Source organism: Homo sapiens, chromosome 17 (assembly GCF_000001405.40).
Source record: "Homo sapiens chromosome 17, GRCh38.p14 Primary Assembly".
Lineage (NCBI taxonomy): Eukaryota > Metazoa > Chordata > Mammalia > Primates > Hominidae > Homo > Homo sapiens.
In genome coordinates, this window is record NC_000017.11 from 983,910 (window position 1) to 1,007,023 (window position 23,114).

The window sequence follows — 23,114 nt, forward strand, 5'->3', positions numbered from 1 at the left end:
ATTGCAAATATTCGAGTATTAACTTTGGTATACTTGGTGCAAGTCTGATATAAAGAGGAGGTTTCTTCCATGTGTGACTTGTCTTATTTAACAGGAAAGCACTTTCCACTGGAGTGTGTCCAAACCAGCATCTGGCACCTGGGGAAGGGAGAGTTCGAACACACTGCACATGAAATATAAATAAAATTTAGAGAATTGTGGATGCGGCAGGCCTTGGTTAGAGGCCAAATATCACAGCTGCCTTTTAAAGGGGTGTGGAAAGAGGGGATTTGCAATGGAAATGATCCCAGAATCATAATTGTAGTGGGTGTTATAAGAAGCCCAAGGAGTCATTTGGCATCCTGTGAAGAATTAGCCAGTGTGCTCTGGGCTACAGAAATCTTGCTCTCTGTGTATGTGGTTCTCTAAAGGAGAATGTCCCCACTGGTGTTCAGCTAGCGATGTTACATGAATCGACTTGGCTATTCTGAAAATTATTATTGTTTTAAAATATGTAGGAATGAGCCTCAACATGTATCGCATTCTGTAGAACATATTAGAATTTTCTCTTCAGAAATTGCTTTTGAAGGCACATGAAGTCATACGAAATACACACAGCACAAATATATATTTGTCACTTTTAAGATTCATAAATCACAGTCCTTGGACTTTAGAAAGAGTAGCACACATGATGTGGGCCGGGCGCGGTGGTTCATGCCTGGAATCCCAGCACTGTGGGAGGCCAAGGTGGGCGGATCACCTGAGGTCACGAGTTCAAGACTAGCCTGAGCAACATGGCAAAATCCCATCTCTACTAAAAATTAAAAAATTAGCTGGGTGTGGTGGCGCACACCCATGGTCCCAGCTACTCAGGAGGCTGAGGTGGGAGGATCGATTGAGCCCAGGAGGTCGAGGCTGCAGTAAGCCATGACTGTGCCACTGCACTCCAGCCTGGGTGACAGAGCAAGACTTTTTCTTAAAAAAAAAAAAAAAAAGCATTCGTGACTCATGGGAGAAGATCAAAATATCAACGTTAACAGGAGTTTGGAAGAAGTTGATTCCAACCATCACACGTGTCTTCCGTGAAGGAAGAAAGTGCGGATGCGGTAGAAACAATGAGAACTAGAATGAGAGGTGAAGCCTGAAGATGGGGCTGAGATGGCTGCAGTCTCATGACCAAACTGTAGCAGGTGAGGAGTTGCTTCTTGTAGATGAGCAAAGACAGTTAGAACGTCAACTTAATAAGGCAGCGGTAAGGTTTGAGAGGACTGACTCCAATTTTGAAAGAAGTTCTACTGTGGGTAAAATGCTATCAAACAGCATCGCACGCTACAGAGAAATCTTTCTTGAGAGGGAGAGATGATGGATACGGCAAGCTTCGCTGCAGTCTGATTTTAAGCGCTTTTACCACAGCCACCCAACCTTCAGCAACCACCATCCTGATCAGTCACCAGCAGCCATCAATATTGAGGCAAGACCCTCCACCAGCAAAATGATTTCAACTTGCTAAAGGCTCAAATGATCATTAGCATCTTTTTTTTTTTTTTTTTTTTTGAGGCGCAGTCTCGCTCTGTCACCCAGGCTGGAGTGTGGTGGTGCCATCTCCACTCACTGCAAGCTCCGCCTCCCTGGTGCATGCCATTCTCTTGCCTCGGCCTCCCAAGTAGCTGGGATTACAGGCACCTGACAGGACGACCGGCTAATTTTTGTATTTTTAGTATAGACAGGGTTTCACCATATTAGCCAGGATGGTCTCGATCTCCTGACCTCGTGATCCACCCGCCCCGGCCTCCCACAGTGCTGGGATTACAGGTGTGAGCCACCACGCCCAGCTGTTTTGTTTTTGTTTTTGTTTTTTGAGATGAAGCTTCATTCGTTGTCCAGGCTGGAGTGCAATAGCGTGATTTTGGCTCACTGCAACCTCTGCCTTCCTGGTTCAAGCCATTCTCCTGCCTCAGCCTCATGAGTAGCTGGGATTATAGGTGCGTATCACCACGCCCAGCTATTTTGTTTGTATTTTTAGTAGAGACAGTGTTTCACCATGTTGGCCAGGCTGGTCTCAAACTCCTGACCTCAGGTGATCCATTCACCTCAGCCTCCCAAAGTGCTGGGATTACAGGTGTGAGCCACTGCGCCTGGCCTGTGATATTAGTTTTATTGTTGTAATCTGGAACCAGAGCTGCAATATCTTGAGGTTTGCCAGTATATAAACACAGAGAAACGTATTCCTAACAAAACAAGTAGGAAATATCCATGATCATTCCAGCCCGTGTTTCTGTAACTGGCCATGGGTTGTGGCTGGTATTTATAATGACCTTTCACTATCCATTATGTATTCCCTTTGCTTTCAGTAAGCACCTCAGCTGGTTGTGGGTCTTTTCCTGGTGGGTGACCCAAACTTTCATTCCTGAAAGGTCTGGGCCCTTGGTAGTCCTGCCTGGATTGAATTCTTGTGGTTTTTCCATTGCCCTAAATCATAGGCCATGGTCTACTAGGACACCCTGAGGGGCCTCTATTCCAGACATACTCTTGCTCACCTCAATTGTGGACTTGTGGTCCAATCTAGGATCAATCACCCCAGCCAGCACAGTAACTCTCTTATCTGCCTGTTGATTCAGAGGCAGTGGGAGGCCAAACAGGCCCAGCAGAAGTCCTCACTTGGAGTTCAATGGCACCACTGTTGGGTCTTCTGGGGGAAACATTCCTCCATTTGGAAATACGACCCCTAGGCCAGCAGAGCATAAGGTCACGTGAACAGGAAACAAACATCTTGCTGCTGGGTCACTAGGAGTGCTAGGGACTGGTGCCCCTCTCATTGCCACCCCTTGATTCCCGGACCCATGAATCCTGGCTGTGGGAGAAACAGCACCCTACACTCAGTTCTGATTCAGAGCATATACTGCCTCCTGCAGAACTCTGGCCCAGCCCTGCAAGGCATCGCCACCCAGCTGGTGCTGTAGTGGAGTCTTCAAAAGGCCATTCCACCATCTTATCAAACCAGCTGCTTCAAGATGGTGGGCAACATGGTCGTACCGGGGAATTCCATGAGCATGGGCTCGTTACCATACTTTCTTTGCTGTGAAGGGAGTTCCTCAGACAGAAGCAGTGCGGTGTGGCATACCGTGACAGTAGGTACGGCATTCTGTGAGTCCACGGATGCTAGTTTTGGCAGGAGCGTGACGTACAGGGAAGGCAAATCCCGATCTAGAGTAAGTGTCTATTCCAGTGAGGACAAAATGCTGCCCCTTCCGTGATGGAAGTGATCCAGTGTCACCAACCTGTCACCGGGTCACTGGCTGATCACCCCAGGGAATGGGGTCACCAACTGATCACCCCAGGGAATGGGATCACCGGGTCGCTGGCTGATCACCCCAGAGAATGGGGTCACTGGCTGATCACCCCAGGGATTGGGGTCACCGGCTGATCACCCCAGGGAATGGGGTCACCGGGTCGCTGGCTGATCACCCCAGGGAATGGGGTCACCAACTGATCACCCCAGGGAATGGGGTCACCAGGTCGCTGGCTGATCACCCCAGAGAATGGGGTCACTGGCTGATCACCCCAGGGATTGGGGTCACCGGCTGATCACCCCGGGGAATGGGGTCACTGGGTCGCTGGCTGATCACCCCAGGGAATGGGGTCACCGACTGATCACCCCAGGGAATGGGGTCACCGGGTTGCTGGCTGATCACCGCAGGGAATGGGGTCACTGGGTCGCTGGCTGATCACCCCAGGGAATGGCATCATTTCAGGGGCTCAGGGTTGGTCTCTGTTGCTGGCAGATGGGGCTTTCAGCCATGGCTGCAGCCAGGATGGCCATAGTGAGTAACAGTCTGTGCTGTGAGCCCATGAATAACCTTTATCCCTGCCCCCCATGGCCACTTTGTTCATGAGCCCACTGGGCACTAACTGTGGTGTCGGGGGAGAGAGGCTGAGCAGCACCCAGAGAACGGGCCATCCTATCGCTTGAAGATTCGAACTCTTCCCTGGTGAGGCCACCCTTTGGCGAGCATTTACATGGGACACACGTATCGTCCGGTTTTTGCCCACATACCTCTTCTCTCAGTTCCCTCGGTTTCCTTGTCACTAATTTTCCAATCATGTTCCTTCCAAGTCCCTGACTCTCCAGGCAAATCATTGGCTACGGTCGGTGAATCGGTGTGTGCTCTCACGTCCAGCCATTTCTCCTTCCAAGCACAACCAACAACCAGGTGCACTGCGCCAACGTCTGCCCACCGGGAGGATCTGCCCCCACCGCTGTCCTTCGGGAATGTCCAAGGAAGAGGCTGGAGGGCAACAGCTGCTCAGTTTCGGGCGGAGACTGCACGTCGTACAGAACCATCTGCAAACTGGGATGTGAGTCTTCGCTTTCTCTGTCAGCTGATCATGGAGGACTCCCCATGATGCTAGAGGTGCAGGCTGGGAAAGGGAAGGCAGGGTGGAGTCGTGGCAGTGGGAACCAAGGGCCTTTGAAGCTGCTTCTCCATCTAACTTCCTGGTGCCTTCAGGGCCTGCTTGGGCCCAGTCACGTGTATACTATTTCCATTAGATGGTGAAGCACGGTGCTGCTGTGCACACCCAACTGTATGGCTTGATGGGTCAGAGAACCTCCAGTTCACGACGGGCAGCTCAGGCCACATGGTAACTCCGTGGCCCATGGCTAAGCATCAGTCTCCAAGAAGGCCCAGTAGCAGTCCAAAAGCTGTGTCTCAAAAGGAGAGTACTGTCCACAGGATGGCAGAGCTTTGCTCCAAAATCCTACAGGCTTGCTCTGCGATTCACCTACGGGGCCTGCCAAAGGCTGCAAACAGCATCCTTGTCTGCCACGGTCTCTTCAAGCATCACTGGATCAGCTGGATCACGTGGCCCACGTGGAGAGCAGCTTGCATCACAGTCGGAACCTGCTACAGTGCGTTCTCTCGCTCTGGTCCCTCTCAAAGCTAGCAGATTTTCAGGTTGCTCTATAACTAGGTCAGGCTAACACGCCCAAATGAGGATTGAGTTGCCGTTAAATATCTGGACACTAAACGGCCCAGTCAAGTTGGCACACACAATTGCCCATCACACACTCTGACATGGGGTATCTTTAAGACGTAGCACAAGAGAAAGGAGGGTGCAGAAGAGGTAGGAAATACTAACCTACAACTTGTCTTTTTTTTTTTTTTTAAAGAAACAGGGTCTTGGCCAGGTGCAGTGGCTCACGCCTATAATCCCAGCACTTTGGGAGGCCGAGGTGGGTGGATCACGAGGTCAAGAGATTGAGACCATCCTGGCCAACATGGTGAAACCCCGTCTCTACTGAAAATACAAAAACTAGCTGGGTGTGGTGGTGGATGCCTGTAATCCCAGCTACTCAGGAGGCTGAGGCAGGAGAATCGCTTGAACCCGGGAGGCGGATGTTGCAGTGAGCCGAGATCACACCACTGCACTCCAGCCTGGTGACACAGTGAGACTCCATCTCAAAAAAAAAAAAAAAAGGAAAAAAAAAAGAAATGGGGTCTTGCTCTGTCACCCAGGCTGGGTATAGTGCTGTGATCATGGCTCACTGCAGCCTCCAACTCCTGGGCTCAAGTGATCCTCCCACCTCAGCCTCCCGCATAGCTGGAATTACAGGTGCACTCCACCATGCCCGGCTAATTTATTTTCTTTCTTTCTTTCTTTTTTTTTTTTTAGAGATAGAGGTCTCACTATGCTGCCCAGGCTGGTCTTGAACTCTTGACTTCAAGGGATCCTCCGGCTTGGCCTTCTGAACTGCAGGGATTATAGGCATGAGCCACTGCACCCGGCCCCATTTGTAATTCTTTTTTTTTTTTTTTTTTTTTTGAGACAGAGTCTCGCTCTGTCGCCCAGGCTGGAGTGCAATGGCACAATCTCGGCTCACTGCAAGCTCCGCCTCCCGGTTTCACGCCATTCTCCTGCCTCAGCCTCCAGAGTAGCTGGGACTACAGACGCCCGCCACCACCAGCTAATTTTTGCATTTTTGGTAAAGACAGGGTTTCACTATGTTGGTCAGGCTGGTCTTGAACTCCTGACCTCAGGTGATCCGCCCGCCTCAGCCTCCCAAAGTGCTGGGATTACAGGTGTGAGCCACCGCACCCGGCCTGTATTATAAGCTTTAATGTCTGTTTTATATTTTCCTTTTTAAAAAGTCGGTATTTTGTGGCAGATCCACTAATAAATGAAATTACCTGATAGAGAAGTGCATACAGCAGAATATGGAGGCGAGATCTGACAAGGATCAAGACGAAGAAAGGGGGAGAAGATCGTTGTTCTCACTGGCTATGGCAGAAGTGTGGTGCAGATCTTTCTGGCACCAACTTGATATATAACTTTGGGGAGCCACCGTGATTTATTATTCTTTCTATTATTCCTTTTATCCCTTAGCAAAGCAGGACAAGTCTGGTCTCTGGGTTGCTTTTTTGTTTTTCTTTTTTGAGATGGTTCTCACTCTGTCGCCCAGGCTGGAGTGCAGTGGTACGATGATGGCTCACTGAAGCCTTGACCTCCTGGGCTCAAGCAATCCTCCCACCTCAGCCTCCCAAGTAGCTGGGACTACAGGCACATGTCACCATGCCGAGCTAATTTTTGTATTTTTTGTTTTTTTAGAGACGGAGTCTTGCTCTGTTGCCCTGGCTGGAGTGCAATGGCGTGATCTGCAAGCTCCTGCAAGCTCCACCTCCTGGGTTCACGCCATTCTCTTGCCTCAGCCTCCTGAGTAGCTGGGACCACAGGCACCCGCCACCATGCCTGGATAATTTTTTGTATTTTTAATAGAGACAGGGTTTCACCATGTTAGCCAGGATGGTCTCGATCTCCTGAACTCGTGATCTGCCTGCCTCGGCCTCCCAAAGTGCTGGGATTACAGGTGTTAGCCACCAAACCCAGCCTAATTTTTGTATTTTTTTGTAGAGACACAGTCTCACTATGTGGCCGAGGCTGGTCTTGAACTCCTGGGCTCAAGTGATCCTCCTGCCTTGACCTCCCAAAGTGCTGGGATTACAGGCATGAGCCACCATGCCCGGCCATTAGTCTCTAGTTCCTAAACAACTTTCCTAACTCTTTTCTGACTTTCTTGTAGAAGTGTAAAGTGCTGGAGAAAACACTGTGCATTTTTCTATCTGCTTCCAATACTTTTCAGATCAGATCTGAGGATTATAATTCATACCCCTAGGCTGGGCACGGTGGCTCATGCCTGTAATCCCAATACTTTTCAGATCAAATCTGAGGATTATAACTTGTACCCCTAGGCCAGGCACAGTGGCTCACACCTGTAATCCCAGCATTTTGGGAGGCCAAGGCGGGCAGATCACTTGAGGTCAGGAGTTCAAAACCATTCTTGTCAGCCTGGTGAAACCCCATCTCTACTAAAAATACAAAAAATTAGCCGGGCGTGCTGGCACATGACTGTAATCCCAGCTACTTGGGAGGCTGAGGCAGGAGAACTGCTGAACCCGGGAGGCAGAGGTTGCAGTGAGCCGAGATCTCACCATTGCACTCCAGCCTGGGTGAAGAAGCAAGACTCTGTCTCAAAAAAAAAGAACTAAACCTGGACGGAAGCACCTGTGTCTTCCTGGGCACTAGTTGTAAAAGCAACACGTTGAGTTCAGATTTTATCCTGGCATGAAGTAGAATCCAGAGCAGGGAGCACGTTCACAGTCCTGTGTGGGAAGATCATTCTGTGAATAGTTTGGAGAAGAGCAAGGTAGGAGGCTCCAAAACCAGTTAAGAGCCTATTAATTAAGAGGCCGGTGCGGTGGCTCACACCTGTAACCCCAGCACTCTGGGAGGCTGAGGTGGGAGGATTGCTTGAGCCCAGGAGTTTGAGACCAGTCTGGGCAACAGAGTAAGAACCAGTTTCTGTAAAAAAGGTTTTTAAAAGTTAGCCCGGGGCACGGTGGCTCACACCTGTAACCCCAGCACTTTAGGAGGCTGAGGTGGGAGGATTGCTTGAGCCCAGGAGTTTGAGACCAGTCTGGGCAACAGAGTAAGAACCAGTTTCTATAAAAAAGGTTTTTAAAAGTTAGCCCGGGGCACGGTGGCTCACACCTGTAATCCCAGCACTTTGGGAGGCTGAGGTGGGCGGATCACGAGGTCAGGAGATCGAGACCATCCTGGCTAACACGGTGAAACCCCGTCTCTACTAAAAACACAAAAAATTAGCTGGGCGTGGTGGCGGGCGCCTGTAGTCCCAGCTACTCGGGAGGCTGAGGCAGGAGAATGGCGTGAACCCAGGAGGCGGAGCTTGCACTGAGCCGAGATCACACCACTGCACTCCAGCCTGGGCAACAGAGCAAGACTCCATCTCAAAAAAAAAAAACATTAGCCCATTACCCCGGCATGGTGGTACATGCCCATGGTCCCAGCTACTTGGCAGGGTCGAGGTAGGAGGATCCCTTGAGCCCAGGAGATCGAGGCTGCAGTGAGCCATGATGGGGCCACTGCACTCCAGTTTGGGCCACAAAGAAAGACCCTGTCTCAAAAAGAAAAAAAGAGGCTCAGAGAAGACATTACTTCCAATTAGATTAATCAGAAAAGGTAAGTTTTGAAGGGCAGGAATATTTAAAGACAGAGCTGAGGGGCATGAGTGGAGTGTTGTGAGAAGAAAAAAGAATTACTAGCAAAAGTTCACAAGGGTCTGAGTGTGGCAGCTCACATCTGTAATCCCAGCACTTTGGGAGGCCAAGGCGGGCAGATCACTTGAGGTCAGGAGTTCAAGAGCAGCCTGGCCAACATGGTGAAACTCCGTCTCTACTAAAAATACAAAAAAATTAGCTGGGCGTGGTGGCTCACGCCTGTAGCTGGGGTCAGGAGGCTGAGGCAGGAGAATCACTTAAAGCTGGGTAATGGAGGTTGCAGTGAGCTGAGATCGCACCATTGCACACCAGCCTGGGCGACAGAGCGAGACTCCATCTCAGAAAAAAGAAAAAAAAAATGTGGTCCCCAACCAGCAGTAGCATCACCTGGGAAATCCAAAATTTCACACCCACCTCAGACCTTTCTGAGTCAGAAACTAACTCTGCGCTCAGCAGCTTAACCACCTGGTTCTCAGTGATGGTTTAGGACAGCCTCACGGACCTCCAGTAAGCCCAGCCCCTCACCAGGCCAATACTCTATGAAGATGAACAGATGATGCTATTACGTGCCCTTCACTGTGGAGACAGAAGGGAGGGACCGACGGTGCTCAGGGCTGGGCCTGGAGGACCCCATCCGGAGCCTGGAGTGCTCTTTATCACCGGCTGCCCGTGGGAACCCACGACTCACGGCTGGAGGCCCCACGCCCCCTGCCTTGTTTCCATCTGCTGCAGCCAGCGACGTCAAGCCTTATTCCATCTGTCAGACCAGGCCAGACGATAAATGTCCTCTTGTGGGGAAAGTGATTCAGAGAGAAAAGCTAAGAGCCACTCCACCCTCACATAATCCACCTCACATAATCCACCCTCACATAATCCACCCTCACATAATCCACCTCACATAATCCACCTCACATAATCCACCCTCACATAATCCACCCCTCACATAATCCACCTCACATAATCCACCCACACTCACATAATCCACCTCACATAATCCACCCTCACATAATCCACCCTCACATAATCCACCTCACATAATCCACCCTCACATAATCCACCCTCACATAATCCACCCTCACATAATCCACCTCACATAATCCACCCTCACATAATCCACCCTCACATAATCCACTCTCACATAATCCGCCTCACATAATCCACCCTCAAATAATCCACCCTCGCATAATCCACACTCACATAATCCACCTCACATAATCCACCTCGCATAATCCACCTCGCATAATCCACCCACCCTCACATAATCCACCTCGCATAATCCACCCTCACATAATCCACCCTCACATAATCCACACTCACATAATCCACCTCACATAATCCACCTCACATAATCCACCTCACATAATCCACCCTCACATAATCCACCTCACATAATCCACCCTCACATAATCCACCTCACATAATCCACCCCTCACATAATCCACCTCACATAATCCACCTCACATAATCCACCCCTCACATAACCCACCCTCACATAATCCACCTCACATAATCCGCCCTCACATAATCCACCCTCACATAATCCACCCTCACGTAATCCACCTCACATAATCCACCTCGCATAATCCACCCACCCTCACATAATCCACACTCACATAATCCACCTCACATAATCCACCTCACATAATCCACCCTCACATAATCCACCTCACATAATCCACCCTCACATAATCCACCTCACATAATCCACCCTCACATAATTCACCCTCACATAATCCACCTCACATAATCCACCCTCACATAATCCACCCTCACATAATCCACCCTCACATAATCCACCCTCACATAATCCACCCACATTCACATAATCCACCTCACATAATCCACCTCACATAATCCACCCTCACATAATCCACCCCTCACATAATCCACCCTCACATAATCCACCTCACATAATCCACCCTCACATAAGACTGTGCAGCTGTCTGGTCTCCATTTCTGCCGGGTGGGGTATTCCATCCTCATCTCGGGCAACATGTCCCAAAAGTATGGTTTCCAGTATGGCTCCTTAGGTCCCACCCATTTCTTCTCTGGGACCCCAAAGACCCAACCCCCACCTTTTTTTTCTTTTTTTTGACACGGAGTCTCCGTCTGTCTCCAGGCCGGAGTACAGTGGCACCATCTCGGCTCACTGCAAGCTCCGCCTCGTGGGTTCAAGCGATTCTGCTGCCTCAGCCTCCTGAGTAGCTGGGACTACAGGGGTGCAGCCACTATGCCTAGCTAATTTTTGTATTTTTAGCAGAGACAGGGTTTCATCATGTTGGCCAGGATGGTCTCGATCTCTTGACCTTGCTTCAGCCTCCCAAAGTGCTGAGATTACAGGTGTGAGCCACCGCGCCCAGCCAAGACCCTTAAAAGAAGGACACTTCACTTCCTCTTACAACTCAGACATACCTGTGAGGCTCCTGGGCTATGGAACACCCCAGCCCTTTCGCAGCCCTTGATGGAAATTGTTTTTCAGCCCTCTGAATAAAATGACCACTGTTTACTTAATCTTTTTTTTTTCTTTTTTTTGAGACAGGGTCTCGTTCCCTCGTCCATGCTGGAGTGCAGTGGCACGATCATGACTCACTGCAGTCTCAACTTCCCAGACTCAAGCAATTTTCCTGCCTCAGCCTCCCAAAGTGCTGGGATTACAGGTGTGAGCCACCATGCCCAGCAGAGGAATCTTTTCCGATCAACATCTTCTGAGAGTCCCTGGCCCAAGTAGGCAGATGCTTGCTACGGCACTGCCTTCAGGCCATTAGCAAAAAGTGTGCTTAAATGCCCAGAGGTGTTCCCAGGCCACGTTTTGTTCATACGAGGAGTACAAAATGATGCCAAAGTGTTAGCATTCTTGGGACTGAAAACCTCTCTCCAACATCCCCTAGGATTTTCCTGGATATGACCAGAAATCCATTCCCAATTTCTCTGCCTCCAGGCCCCAATTCTGGTTTCCTCAAAGAGGAGGAAGTGTTCTTGGTTCCCAAAATATGCTTGCAGTGCAGTGGTATAATGGTAAATGTTTAACAACAATAACAAAAAGGCCCTAACTGGCCGGGCGCAGTGACTCACGCCTGGAATCCAAGCACTTTGGGAGGCCGAGGTGGGTGGGTCACCTGAGGTCAGGAGTTTGAGACCAGCCTGGCCAACATGGTGAAACCTTGTCTCTACTAAAAATACAAAAATTAGCCGGGCATGGTGGCATGTGCCTGTAATCCCAGCTAGTCGGGAGGCTGAGGCAGGAGAATCGCTCAAACCCGGGAGGTGCAGGTTGCAGTGAGCGGAGATTGCACCACTGCACTCCAACCTGGGTGACAGAGCAAGACTCTGTCTCAAAAGAGTAATTTTAAAAAGTAAGGCAACAAATTATCAGGAGTTTTTGAGCTGGTTGTTAAGCACAGTTATTATTAAAAATTACATTCTATACATTTATAATAAATTACACTAAAAATAGGTAATATGTGCTCAAAACTCATCCCCTCCTAAAAATTTTACTACACTGTACTCCTATCTATGCTGTTGAGGTTATTTCCATAGATTGTATCTGTGTGATAGAAACACCATGTAACCACATGCTGCTGTACGTCTTCCCAATTCTGACTGATGACCTCGCTTGGTAGTTTGAAATCAGCCATGATGGGGATATTAACACCACACAAGTCAGCAAATGCTGTCAGTTAGGATTTTTTTTTTTTTTTTTTTTTTTTTGAGACGGAGTCTTGCTCTTGTCGCCCAGGCTGGAGTGCGATGGTGCGATCTTGGCTCACTGCAACCTCCACCTCCCGGGTTTAAGAGATTCTCCTGTCTCAGCCTCCCGAGTAACTGAGATTACAGGCGCCTGCCGCCACCTGGCTAATTTTTATATTTTTAGTAGAGACGGGGTTTCCTGCTTCAGCCTCCTAAGTAGCTGAGAATACAGGCGTGCACCACCATGCCCAGCTAATTTTTTTATTTTTTATTTTTTTAATTTTTAGTAGAGATGGGGTTTCACCATGTTTGTCAGACTGGTCTCGAACTCCTGACCTCGTGATCCACCGGCCTCGGCCTCCCACAGTGCTGGATGACAGGCGTGAGCCCCCGCGCCCGGTCCGTGCATTTACAGCACAAGTTCACGCTTATCTACAAAGCATCCACCTCTCACCGCACCTTCCGGGACCACGGGATTTAACGCCTCACCGCCCGATGACAGCACGAGGTGGAAAGGGCAGCGACAATGCTCGCGCGTCCCCTCCCGGCGATCCGGAGCACGGCAGCCCCGGAGCGCGCGGCCACTCCTCGCTCCCCTCAGGAGCTCGTAAGAGCCCCGCGCGGGGCCGAGGCGCGAGAGCACGCGCAACGCTTCCTGGGAAATGTAGTTGGGTGTCGGATTAGAACTACAAATCCCGGTACTCACCGCGCTGCAGCCCCGACCGTGAGGGCGCTTTCTGGTGAATCTGAATCTCGTTTGTCTGTGACATGGGGAAAGCTGTCCAAGCCCAATTCCATTTTCACAAGAGGCTTTCTTTTTGGAAACATGATAGCGGTCTCGCTGGTGTGCGCACCAGGAGCGTTGCGGCCGCGGCTTCCTCCTGCGGCGAATCTGCCGTTGCATCACAGTGGCTAGTCTCAGGGCCCGCAACGTGACGCTTGTCGAATCTGCTGCGGGGAGAAGGACGCGAGGGTTGCTTGGGCAGCGACTGTCATGGCGGCGGCCGCCCCCAATGCCGGAGGCTCGGCCCCTGAGACAGCGGGTTCCGCCGAAGCTCCGCTGCAGTACAGCCTGCTCCTGCAGTACCTGGTGGGTGACAAGCGTCAGCCCCGGCTCCTGGAGCCTGGGAGCCTGGGCGGGATCCCAAGTCCAGCCAAGAGTGAGGAGCAGAAGATGATCGAGAAGGCGATGGAAAGCTGCGCTTTCAAGGCTGCGCTGGCCTGCGTGGGAGGTGAGGCCGGGCGATGGGACCCTTGGGAGGCTGAGGGCCTGGACGGCAGTGGGGATCTCTGCCGAGAAGACCACGCGCCTGGGAGGCGAGGGACTGCGGGCCTTGACCTTGACCACACCCTCGCCTCGTTCGTGAATCGGGCGTCACCTCTCCTGCCCCCTCAGGCCGGCTTTCCTGATGAAAATTGGGTTAGAGAATCGGTGCTGTGGTTGGGGCCTGAAAGTTATTACATGACATCCTGGCTAACACGGTGAAACCCCGTCTCTACTAAAAATACAAAAAATTAGCTGGACGTGGTGGTGGGCGCCTGTAGTCCCAGCTATTCGGGAGGTTGAGGCAGGAGAATCGCTTGAACCCAGGAGGCGGAGCTTGCAGTGAGCCGAGATGTGCCACTGCTCTCCAGCCTGGGCGACAGAGCGAGACTCCGTCTCAAAAACAACAACAAAAAGTTATTACGTGGGTGACTTCATTCATCCGTTCATTCCCTTAAATTCATTCTCTTAAATAATTCTTTCAACAAATTGTTCCTAAGCAATATCACGTGCCAGGTGAAAGAGACAAGAGCCTGGTCTTCATGGGGCCTGTATTATACTATGTGGAGAAGAATGTTGAGCAGGAACACTGCAGAGGAAGGATGCAGACATATGGAAATGCACATGCAGACGACTCTAGGGCAGCAGTTGTTTGAGGTTTGAAAAACTGAAAGACCATTGTGACTAGACAGCCCCGAGCAAGGAGAGACGAAGTCTGCACTTGTCCTTCTGTTTTTCCCTTAAGTTGAAGGGGAGGTGCCCATGATTTTATTAAACTCATATTGACCATGAGGTCATGAGAGGGCATCCATCTGGACATGTCCAGCCGGCTCAGGAAGGACAGATGTGGCAGCAGTGTGGGATTTGCCATTAGGTAGCTGTGTGGCCTTGGGAGAAGTTGCTTAACCTCTCTGAGCCTCAGTTTATAGAAAGGAGAGGCTAATAGCATCTGTCTCACTGGATTATTGTGAAGAATGAATGAGGCTGTGGCATACTGGCATGTGCTCAGTAAAGCATTACTGTGAATGTCACAGTGGCCAAGAGAGTGATTTGCAAAGTTGATAGCTGAAGTTGAGGGTGGCTGGTTTACATATGAGAGAATGTAGAGAGAATAGAGGGTTAAAGATGGAATCTTGAGAAATGTTAGGGAATGACAGGAGGAAGAAATCTTAGAGACGGAGAAGATGATGTCAGTAACATAGACCCTGGATTGCAAGTCTCCAGGCAAGTGGAGAGTTTGAGTGGCAAGAGGGGGGTGTCCTCTGCACCGGTGGTCATCCAAAAGCATGGTCCCTTCCAGGATGATCCCAATAGAGTAATGCAGAAAACATGCCAAAGACACCTTCATCTCTGTGTTTGCTTCTAGGATTTGTCTTAGGAGGTGCATTTGGGGTGTTTACCGCTGGCATCGATACCAACGTGGGCTTTGACCCTAAGGATCCTTACCGTACACCGACTGCAAAAGAAGTGCTGAAAGACATGGGGCAGAGAGGAATGTCCTATGCCAAAAATTTCGCCATTGTGGGAGCCATGTTTTCTTGTACTGAGTGTTTGATAGAATCTGTAAGTGTCTCTGCCTTCTAAGAAATCCTTGCTGGGGCCACCATTTCATTACTTTTAAAGAGAAATTGCTCTTTAAAAGTCATTTGAAAGTTGTTACTAGAAAGCAAATCAGAAGCATCAGATACATTCTAGGTTGAACTTCCATAAAATAGTCCCTGTGGCAGACTTTGTGTGTGTTTACAGTATGGGCTTGCATTATTTTTTACTTTTTGTAGGCTAGAAGTTAGCTAATGATTTTAAACGAGACTTATTGGAGAGCCCCTTGAAGAAATTTTGATTACATTCCAAATGCTGGGCTTGGTTTCAGCACTCTGGTGCCACCTGCAGGAAGCATCTATGAACGCATACTATATATATATATATATATATATATATATATATATACACGCTGTATACTTAGGAACTATATTTTCAAGAAAGATTAGGTTTCCTTTGGGTAGGGACTGAATGAGCTAACGAGCAACCCTGTGTATTCCTCCTTAATGGTCTGCCTTGGCTTGTTTCTTTGGCTCTAACGTGTACTTCCCTGCCCACAGTACCGGGGAACATCAGACTGGAAGAACAGTGTCATCAGTGGCTGCATCACGGGAGGAGCTATTGGTTTCAGAGGTTAGTAAACGGCTCTCGAATGCTTTTTCTTTGTGGCCTTGGACAACGTGCTGAGGTTGTCATTTCCAAACACACGAGTGTTCCAGGGACACTTGATCTTCTTCCCTCTGACAAATAAATCATGTTTGTTTCTGTGGTAACTCGGTTTTGGAAACTTGTAGGATCTAGATGAGGGTTTCCCATCGTTGGCACTACTGACATTTCGACCAGACGAATCTTTGTCGGGATTGGGTCTGTTTTGTGCATTCTAAGACGTTGAGCAGTATCCCTGGCCTCTACCCACGAGATGCAAGTAGCACCCCCGTCCGTTGTAACAACTTTTTTTTTTTTAAAGAGACCGAATCTCACTCTGTCGCCCAGGCTGGAGTGCAGTGGCACGATGTCAGCTCACTGCAACCTCCACCTCCTGGGTTCAAGCGATTCCCCTGCCTCAGCTTCCCAGGTAGCTGGGATTACAGGCACCCGCCACCATGCTCAGCTAATTTTTATTTTTTTAGTAGAGATCAATTTCACCTGGTCTCGAACTCCTGACCTCGTGATCTGCCTGCCTCAGCCTCCCAAAGTGCTGGGATTACAGGCATGAGCCACCACGTGTGGCCAACATTTTTCTCAGTAATTCTAGACAATTGTCTTTTAATTTTAGATATAAATTATAATGGTAATATCTTTCTGCCCTTGGGGATTCTGATTTCTACCCATTGAATGCTAAGTACAGATATTCTAGAAATATTAGATTATCAGCTGCAAAAAAAAAAAAAAAAAGAAAACCAATTTGCTGCCTCTTCTCCCCGTTGGCATGTCCATTCAGAGCGTGGTGGAGGGCCTTGGTGACTTGACTTTCCTAGAAGCAGCAGTGTTTTATCACTGGGCCACTTTCCATCTGTCATGCCCTAACTTACCCAGAGCAAAAAGCCAGTTTTCTCATCTTCTGAGAGACAGGATGATTTGCTGTCATGAAACCTGGTTTTGCTCCTCAAGCACCATTTATGATGACGGACTGACTTCTCCGCCGGTCGTCCCATTGTTCAGCTTCACCAGGGCCTCTTTGAGAAGCTCTGCTGTCTCCAGTACTGCTTTGATCACCTTCCCAGGAATGTATTCCATAAACAAATCAGGGTCAAGGCCATATGCTTTCATTTGATTCCGAGGGCTGCTTCTCTCAACCAGTTTCCTGCCTGCGAGGGGCTATTTCCCTAAGACTAGAAATACCCTTTGAAGGAGAAAAGCTAAACAAATGTAGTTAGATAAAGCGCACTGGATTAGATCATATACACTGCTTCATTGATGTCTTCCAGAGCTATGATCGTTTGAATGACTTACAGTGCTTAAGCTCATTTCATGACACTGAGGGTGTGCCAACTTTCCGTGAGTGCCTCGTGACCCAGCAGCTGTCACCACAGGTCATGTTCTTTCTGTTTGTTTGACAGCTGGCTTAAAGGCTGGGGCCATTGGTTGTGGAGGTTTTGCTGCTTTCTCTGCTGCGATTGATTATTACCTCCGGTGAGAGTAATTGCCTGCAGGGAAGGATGATGCCAGCCCCGGATCCGGGCTGCTCTCTGGAGGACAGTTTCTGTACCACACCAGGGCCTTGCTTCAGGGCCTGAAGACATTCATTTTCCCTCATGTCGTTGGTATTCTGAGGGAGCTGCCTGGCTTCTCTGCCTCCAGCCTTTGGGGTAGCCACACTTTGCTGCTCCTGGACTCCAGCCAGCCTTCACAGAGGACGTCCCGTGCCAGATTCTCTCACAGCAGATCGGGAGACAGGATGTTGACATATAGGAATTCAGCTCCACAAAGCTTCAGGCCTGACCACAGCTGGCCCTCTAGGTTGTTTGGTGTTGTGGGCACAGAGGTGACAGTGTCTCTGCAGGCACTCAGGAAGCTGTTCTACCTTGGAACTCCATGCAACTATCCGTCTCGAATACCAGGGCAGGGCAAGGCGGACTGATGCCGTCCAACCAATTATCTCACTTGTTTTGTGTTCTGTCATCCTTGTTTTTTTTTTAAAAATACACTCCCCTCCCCCACCGCCACACACCTTACAGTTCAAAAGGTTGGTTTATTTGTATTTTATTTTCAAATTCCCTATTCCAAAAATAGTGCCGGGTGGCCCAAAGATAACATCTGAAGGGAAAGAATGAGAAAGCTCCCAGGGAAGCGGGGGATGGGGCGCTGAGGCAGGGTTGTTAGAGGACTGTGTCATCCTCACCAAGCTCATTACATCTGCCAGGGCCTGCCTCAAGAAGCCCAGCCCAGCCTTTTCCTGGGATGCAGTGAAATCCCATCCATGAACTCGATGGGCCCCTCCTGTGCCGGCCGAGAGGCACACACTGCCTTCACGACGTGACTGCTGGACCTGGCCGAGCTTGAGGCCACATGTGAAGGGTCCTGCTGTGGTCATCTTGGTGACTCGGTCACAGCAGCTACTGGCCAAGATCAGACGTCGCTGAGGGGCTGTTCACCACCATCCTCGTTCTCCAGGGTCAAGGAAGTGTTTTAACATGTCGTGTTTTCGACTTGACCTTGTGGTATTTTTCTTGGCCTAGTTGTGTGCCATGGATATTAAAAAAAAAAAAAAAAAAATCCGTCTACAGTTGGGCTTCAGCACTGGTGCTGCTTTACCCTGGTGCTCTGTGGGGGGATGACACTGCTGGAGTCAGGCCTTTGCTCTTGGGTGGGGCACAGGCAGGTCGCTTGGTGGGGGCCACACAGTGCTGGGCACCTTCAGCCAGTGGTGATGAGTCTCCTTTTTCCTATAATACGGTAATTCCTCTATCCTTTCCTTTTTTGCCTTCTTCCTCATCTGCCCTGTCTTCTGGCCCACACACTCTTAACCAGCGTTCACACTCAGTGTACATGGCCTGGAGGCCCGAGTGTTTGTACATGAGTGATGATGTCAAACCCAGCTGGTAACACCTTCCTTGGGTCATGTTTGCCATTTTCTTGGAATGAATGTGAGTTCCTGCTCAGGGCTCATGTCCTTTTACAGTGAATTCTATATAACGCCCCTCCCAGTCTCACAGCTAGGAGGCTTCATCACTGCTAGGCCAGTTGGAGCGTTCCCTAGAGCTCAGAACAAATTGTTTCCTCTGCTGTCCCTAAATATAGGACACCTACAAGCACTCTGAAGCAAGGGCAGACATTCCCACCTGGTACCTGTCAAAGTCCTAGGATGCCTGGGATCTTCCATCTTTCAGTCTAGCACGTGGGACCAAATACAAGAGATGCTGCCCTCACAACAGCCTTGGAAAAGATGAGCGCCAGGGCTGTCAGTACCCATCGGTTCAGTAAGCGAGGCATTGTCCACGCTGCCTATTCACTCGAGAGATGAATAGTTTCCTGTTTTCGATGGCTGGGGAGCCAGTATGAGCTCATAAACCAAACAGCAATTTTCAGAGACATCTGTTCCTGATCTTCAGAATAAACTCAGTGTCCAGTTGCTTCGGCTGGTGGGAGCCAATATTCACGCCACTGACTCTCTCAAAGGGAGGGTGGGCCCTCGGAGACCCAGCTTCTCTGACAAGCAGATTAGACCAAAAGGCTGCCTCAAAGATATGCCACTTTGAAGGAAAGCGTAGAGAAGCGTTTACATAAAAGAAGACGCTTCCTGTTCAGTGGACAACTTCATGCCACTTTCAAGGCACACCGATGGCCAGGTGGGACATTTGTACTGTAGCAGCACATGGCAAAGGTGAGCCAGAAGCAGCCTGGATGCTGGCTGATCCGGAGGCCTTTGTGAAGAGCAAGGAGAGGGCTCCAGCCCACCTCCCCGCAGCTCTGCCCCAGCCCCCGTGGGCCACAGGGAGGCTCAAGGGGAGTGAACTAGGTAAACAGATTCCTGGAAACTCACATCTGGATGCAGCTGGAAGAGTTAAATATTTACATTGGTGGCTTCCCTGGACCACCGCGAACACAAACATCCACACCACAGGGCTGAGTTTTGTGCAAATGATGGGGCTTTGCATTTTTTATTAACATTTTCCTCTCACGTGGTTTACATCAATTTATAATAATCTACATAAGTTGAAACAGAACATAGACAAAAAAATATATCCTTACCAACTTATTAAAGTCAGATATTCATGAAGGGTCCCATCCTACCTGTGTATCAGCAGAAACTGGCAGCCATCAGCCATTGCCCAGCAAGAACAGGCAGACCTGGCGTTTCTTAGCCTGACTCCTGCTGGGCACAGCCCACCCTGCTGGGCACAGTGACTGGAGGTTCCAGGCTGCACAGTCCCTGGCTCCTGACTCCTGCCGGGCGCAGTGACTGGAGGTTTCGGGCTGCATGGTCCCCGGCTCACAGGAGACCCTGCTGGGTGTTTCCTTGGTGCAGTTTAGTCCAGGTCTGGCACCTGACCCTCCCCACTCTGGGGGTGGGATTTATAAATATGAGCCTTTGCATTTCTCAGCCTTTGCAGCCTTCCCATAGCCTGTTCTCACGTTGCCTCAGCGAGCTTGGGGCTGTGGGGCTCCCTGAGGCTGAGACGCGAAGGTGCCCAGTCTGGGCCGTGACTCACTCTGCCCCTTCCTGTCCATCACTTTGGAAGCAAGCAGGAGCCTTCTGTGCCACACACCGACACTCGGATGCCAGGCAGGGACCTTAGGAAGGGCCAGGCACTGCATCTTTAGACTCAAGTTCACCGCCTTTCCCAGGGAGCAAGGGCTCCTTGCTAAGCTGCTCACAGGCAGCCGATGGTCAGTACTTCCTTCCTCTTGGGCATGTCTTTCCTCCGTGCACAGAGTATTTACTGTTCTGCCCAAGGCCACAGGAGTAAACAGGCTCAAAAAGGGCCTCTCACCGCGCACGCGCTGCAGCGTTAGGGCCGGCAAACCCTTCTTTAAGACTCAGCCCTGAGCACAAGCAATGGGAACTGAGCTCCCCAGCCCTGAGGGCCCGGAAACGACGCTCTGCCACACAGAAGAGCCGGGGAGCTGTAACTGGCTATAAGTCGAGCCCCTGGAGCTGCATCTGCTCTCCTAGGCTGATGGCCCGAGGCTGGCAGCCGCAGCTCGTGTGGGAAGTGTACGGTGGGAACACACCTCACTCCTTCCTAGTACCGGGCAATGCGTCTGCAAGTCGGGTCCCTGCTCCCTGGCGGGTGCCTACAGCACCAACAAGGAGGCCCCAGCAGAACCCAGCCCCTAGAGGCGGCTGTCTGATTCCCCACTCTCCCCACAACTTCTGGAGTTCCCAGTGTTTACCCAAAAGGCTGTATCCAGAAGCTGGGGCGGCACCACAATGGCTGGCCACCGTGGGCCTGTGCCTTTGCTTCCCAGGTCCTGGAGGACCGTGGCAGTGCTTGGCTGTGGAGTGTGTGTAAAATCTAAGGCAAGAGTACCACGAGGTCCTGCGGTGCCAGGGAGCTCCTGGCTGCAGCCTACCTGCCTGGACACCTGCTTCGGCCACATCAGTCACCCTCCAGGAAGCCTGGCCCCTCTTGAAAAGCCCCCACAACTTGCTCCTAAGAGCTGAGCTGCCTCCCCGCGACCCGGGACACCCAGCGTGGCATGTGCATTCCTCCCCCGTTCAGCCTGTGGTGTTTCCTCAGCAGCCTGACCGCCTCCTCCCCCATTCTCTCCTGACCCTCTGGCTATCTCGATAGCAGGTCACCTGTGAGTCTTTACACTCAAAGGAAATAGAACAGCAGGGAAGGGAACTGAAAAGCAGTAGAAGAAACAGTCAGAGATGCCTCACTGATAGACAGGAGGCCGAACAGGTAAACCCCAGAAGTGGAGATTCCCAAACGGAAAATTCCAGAAATGGGCGCTCCAGCTCTGTGCTAAGCTGGGGACGAGTGTGAGTGTGTCTGCTTGTCCAACATTTGCACAGGCAGCAAGGCAAAGCAGGTGTGCTCCCAAAGGCGGAGTCTGAGGAGGGGCCGGCAGCGGCAAACGGCAGCATCAAACAGACCACTGCTGCCGCGGCAACCCAGGGCCTCTTCAGAGCTTTCAAGGCGATGGAGCGAAGACCAAGGGTGCACATGCATGCAGGCAGGCTGGGAAGGAAGAGCGGGTGGAGGAAGACTGAGGGGAGGCTGCCAGGAGACCGCCATCTGGGAGCAGGGCCAAGAGAGAAGCTGGCAGCAGTTACACAGCGCAAAATAAAAGGCCTTGGGCTGGACTCAGGCGGAAAGAAAGTGCTGGAGGAAATGAAAGAACAAAGCGGGCTGTCTGTGTGCCCACGCCGGGCCGGTCACTACCTTTTCTGCCTGACAAGTGTACATAAAACAATTCCCGAACAGCACGGAGCATCAGACACAACTAGAGGTATGGAGGGCAGGAGGTGGGATGCGGTGGTGAGGCTGGGGCTGGGCAGCCGGCTTTGTACAAGGTGGCACAAAAGACGTACGCATTCCAGTTCTTGGAAGCTGGCTTCCCTCGAGTCTGGAGTGCTGGGTTTGGGAGTTTTCTATTGCAGTCTTTCAAGTCTGAGTTGGACCCCAGGCTGGAGGGGCTGGTTCCACCACCCGCCCGCAGCCACCCTGCCTCGGGCTACACGTCGGTGGAGAAGTACAGTGTGTTCCGCTTGAGTTCTGCGAAGGAAATGGGGGGGTGCTGCAGGTAGTAGAGGAGGACCTGGACCTGTGGGGAGACAGGAAGGCGGAGGCTGGGCTCCCTGTCCTAGGCCTCGTCCTTGCTGACTCCAGCCTGTGTTGCCCCTCCCACTCCCTAGACTGGCTCCGGCCACCGCCCCTTCCTGGGGAGCCCAGGTGTGTTTGCCTTTCTGCAGCCGTGGAAGGTGCTACGGGGCAGAGGGTCGGGGGCCTAGGGCCACTTCCCCAACCTGGCCATAAGCTTCTGCTCTGTCCTGAGGCGGCCACAGTCCGGCCCCTGCTCTGGGTCTTGCAGGAATCCCAGGGAAGCCTCCCGCCCTTGGAAGCAACCTCAGAGCTTCCACCCATGAGGACAAGGGCCCAGCATCTCCCCACCCCTGGGCTTGCTTTCTGAGACTGAGGCCCTCCTGAGAATGCAGCCAGCATCTCTGGGCCCTGGTCTAGGCTCACATGTTTGTTTTGGCCTGGGAGGGGCAGAAGTGTCTACAGTCCTGCCTCCCTGGTGACACCCCATAGCCCATCAACCCAGCTTCCCACGAGGGAAGAGGTGTGGGGACTCTGAGCTGTTCTCTCTCCTCCTAAGGGGCTGGTCTCACCCTCCGCCAGCCACGGGCCCGGGCGGTGCCAGGGTACCTGCGCCATGACGTCATGGGACCGTCACCCTCCGCCAGCCACGGGCCCGGGCGGTGCCAGGGTACCTGCGCCATGACGTCATGGGACCGTCACCCTCCGCCAGCCACGGGCCCGGGCGGTGCCAGGGTACCTGCGCCATGACGTCATGGGACCGTCACCCTCCGCCAGCCACGGGCCCGGGCGGTGCCAGGGTACCTACGCCATGACGTCATGGGACCGTCACCCTCCGCCAGCCACGGGCCCGGGCGG

At 51.3% G+C, this 23,114-nt stretch overlaps 2 protein-coding genes across 8 annotated transcripts in view, besides 4 other annotated features; one reads left to right on the top strand and one right to left on the bottom strand.

Moving 5' to 3' along the window:
• Nucleotides 3,934–4,804: an enhancer, noted in NCBI's record as "H3K4me1 hESC enhancer chr17:891083-891953 (GRCh37/hg19 assembly coordinates)". NCBI's record gives its function as "activates a minimal SCP1, AML or CMV promoter by ChIP-STARR-seq in primed H9 embryonic stem cells {active_cell/tissue: H9 hESC(primed)}" and the evidence as "EXISTENCE:reporter gene assay evidence [ECO:0000049][PMID:30033119]".
• On the top strand, nt 13,220–19,762 carry TIMM22 (translocase of inner mitochondrial membrane 22). Its single transcript, NM_013337.4, has 4 exons — nt 13,220–13,471; nt 14,870–15,066; nt 15,603–15,675; nt 17,103–19,762. Exons 1-4 carry the CDS (start codon nt 13,234–13,236, stop codon nt 17,177–17,179), a joined length of 585 nt encoding a protein of 194 aa, NP_037469.2. The 5' UTR covers nt 13,220–13,233; the 3' UTR covers nt 17,180–19,762.
• Nucleotides 13,242–13,933: an enhancer, noted in NCBI's record as "H3K27ac hESC enhancer chr17:900391-901082 (GRCh37/hg19 assembly coordinates)". NCBI's record gives its function as "activates a minimal SCP1, AML or CMV promoter by ChIP-STARR-seq in naive H9 embryonic stem cells {active_cell/tissue: H9 hESC(naive)}" and the evidence as "EXISTENCE:reporter gene assay evidence [ECO:0000049][PMID:30033119]".
• ABR (ABR activator of RhoGEF and GTPase) overlaps nt 19,610–23,114 on the bottom strand; it is a 226,204-nt gene continuing 222,699 nt past the window's right edge. For all 7 annotated transcript variants that reach the window (NM_001322841.2, NM_001159746.3, NM_021962.5 and 4 more), the window contains one exon: nt 19,610–22,260. In NM_001322841.2, coding sequence (NP_001309770.1) covers nt 22,171–22,260 — 90 coding nt within the window. In that variant the 3' untranslated portion in view covers nt 19,610–22,170. The remainder of the gene's footprint in view (nt 22,261–23,114) is intronic.
• Nucleotides 21,035–21,793: an enhancer, noted in NCBI's record as "H3K4me1 hESC enhancer chr17:908184-908942 (GRCh37/hg19 assembly coordinates)". NCBI's record gives its function as "activates a minimal SCP1, AML or CMV promoter by ChIP-STARR-seq in naive H9 embryonic stem cells {active_cell/tissue: H9 hESC(naive)}" and the evidence as "EXISTENCE:reporter gene assay evidence [ECO:0000049][PMID:30033119]".
• Nucleotides 21,040–21,334: a silencer, noted in NCBI's record as "tiled region #8553; HepG2 Repressive non-DNase unmatched - State 18:Pol2". NCBI's record gives its function as "represses a minimal TATA promoter and a strong SV40 promoter by Sharpr-MPRA in HepG2 cells {active_cell/tissue: HepG2}" and the evidence as "EXISTENCE:reporter gene assay evidence [ECO:0000049][PMID:27701403]".

Excerpts from the sequence above, each read along its gene's own strand:
- TIMM22 (NM_013337.4), top strand. The coding sequence starts at position 13,234 with ATGGCGGCGGCCGCCCCCAATGCCGGAGGCTCGGCCCCTGAGACAGCG. Across the intron at positions 13,472-14,869 it reads TGCGCTGGCCTGCGTGGGAG|GATTTGTCTTAGGAGGTGCA; the intron begins GTGAGGCCGGGC and ends GTTTGCTTCTAG. Across the intron at positions 15,676-17,102 it reads AGGAGCTATTGGTTTCAGAG|CTGGCTTAAAGGCTGGGGCC; the intron begins GTTAGTAAACGG and ends TTTGTTTGACAG.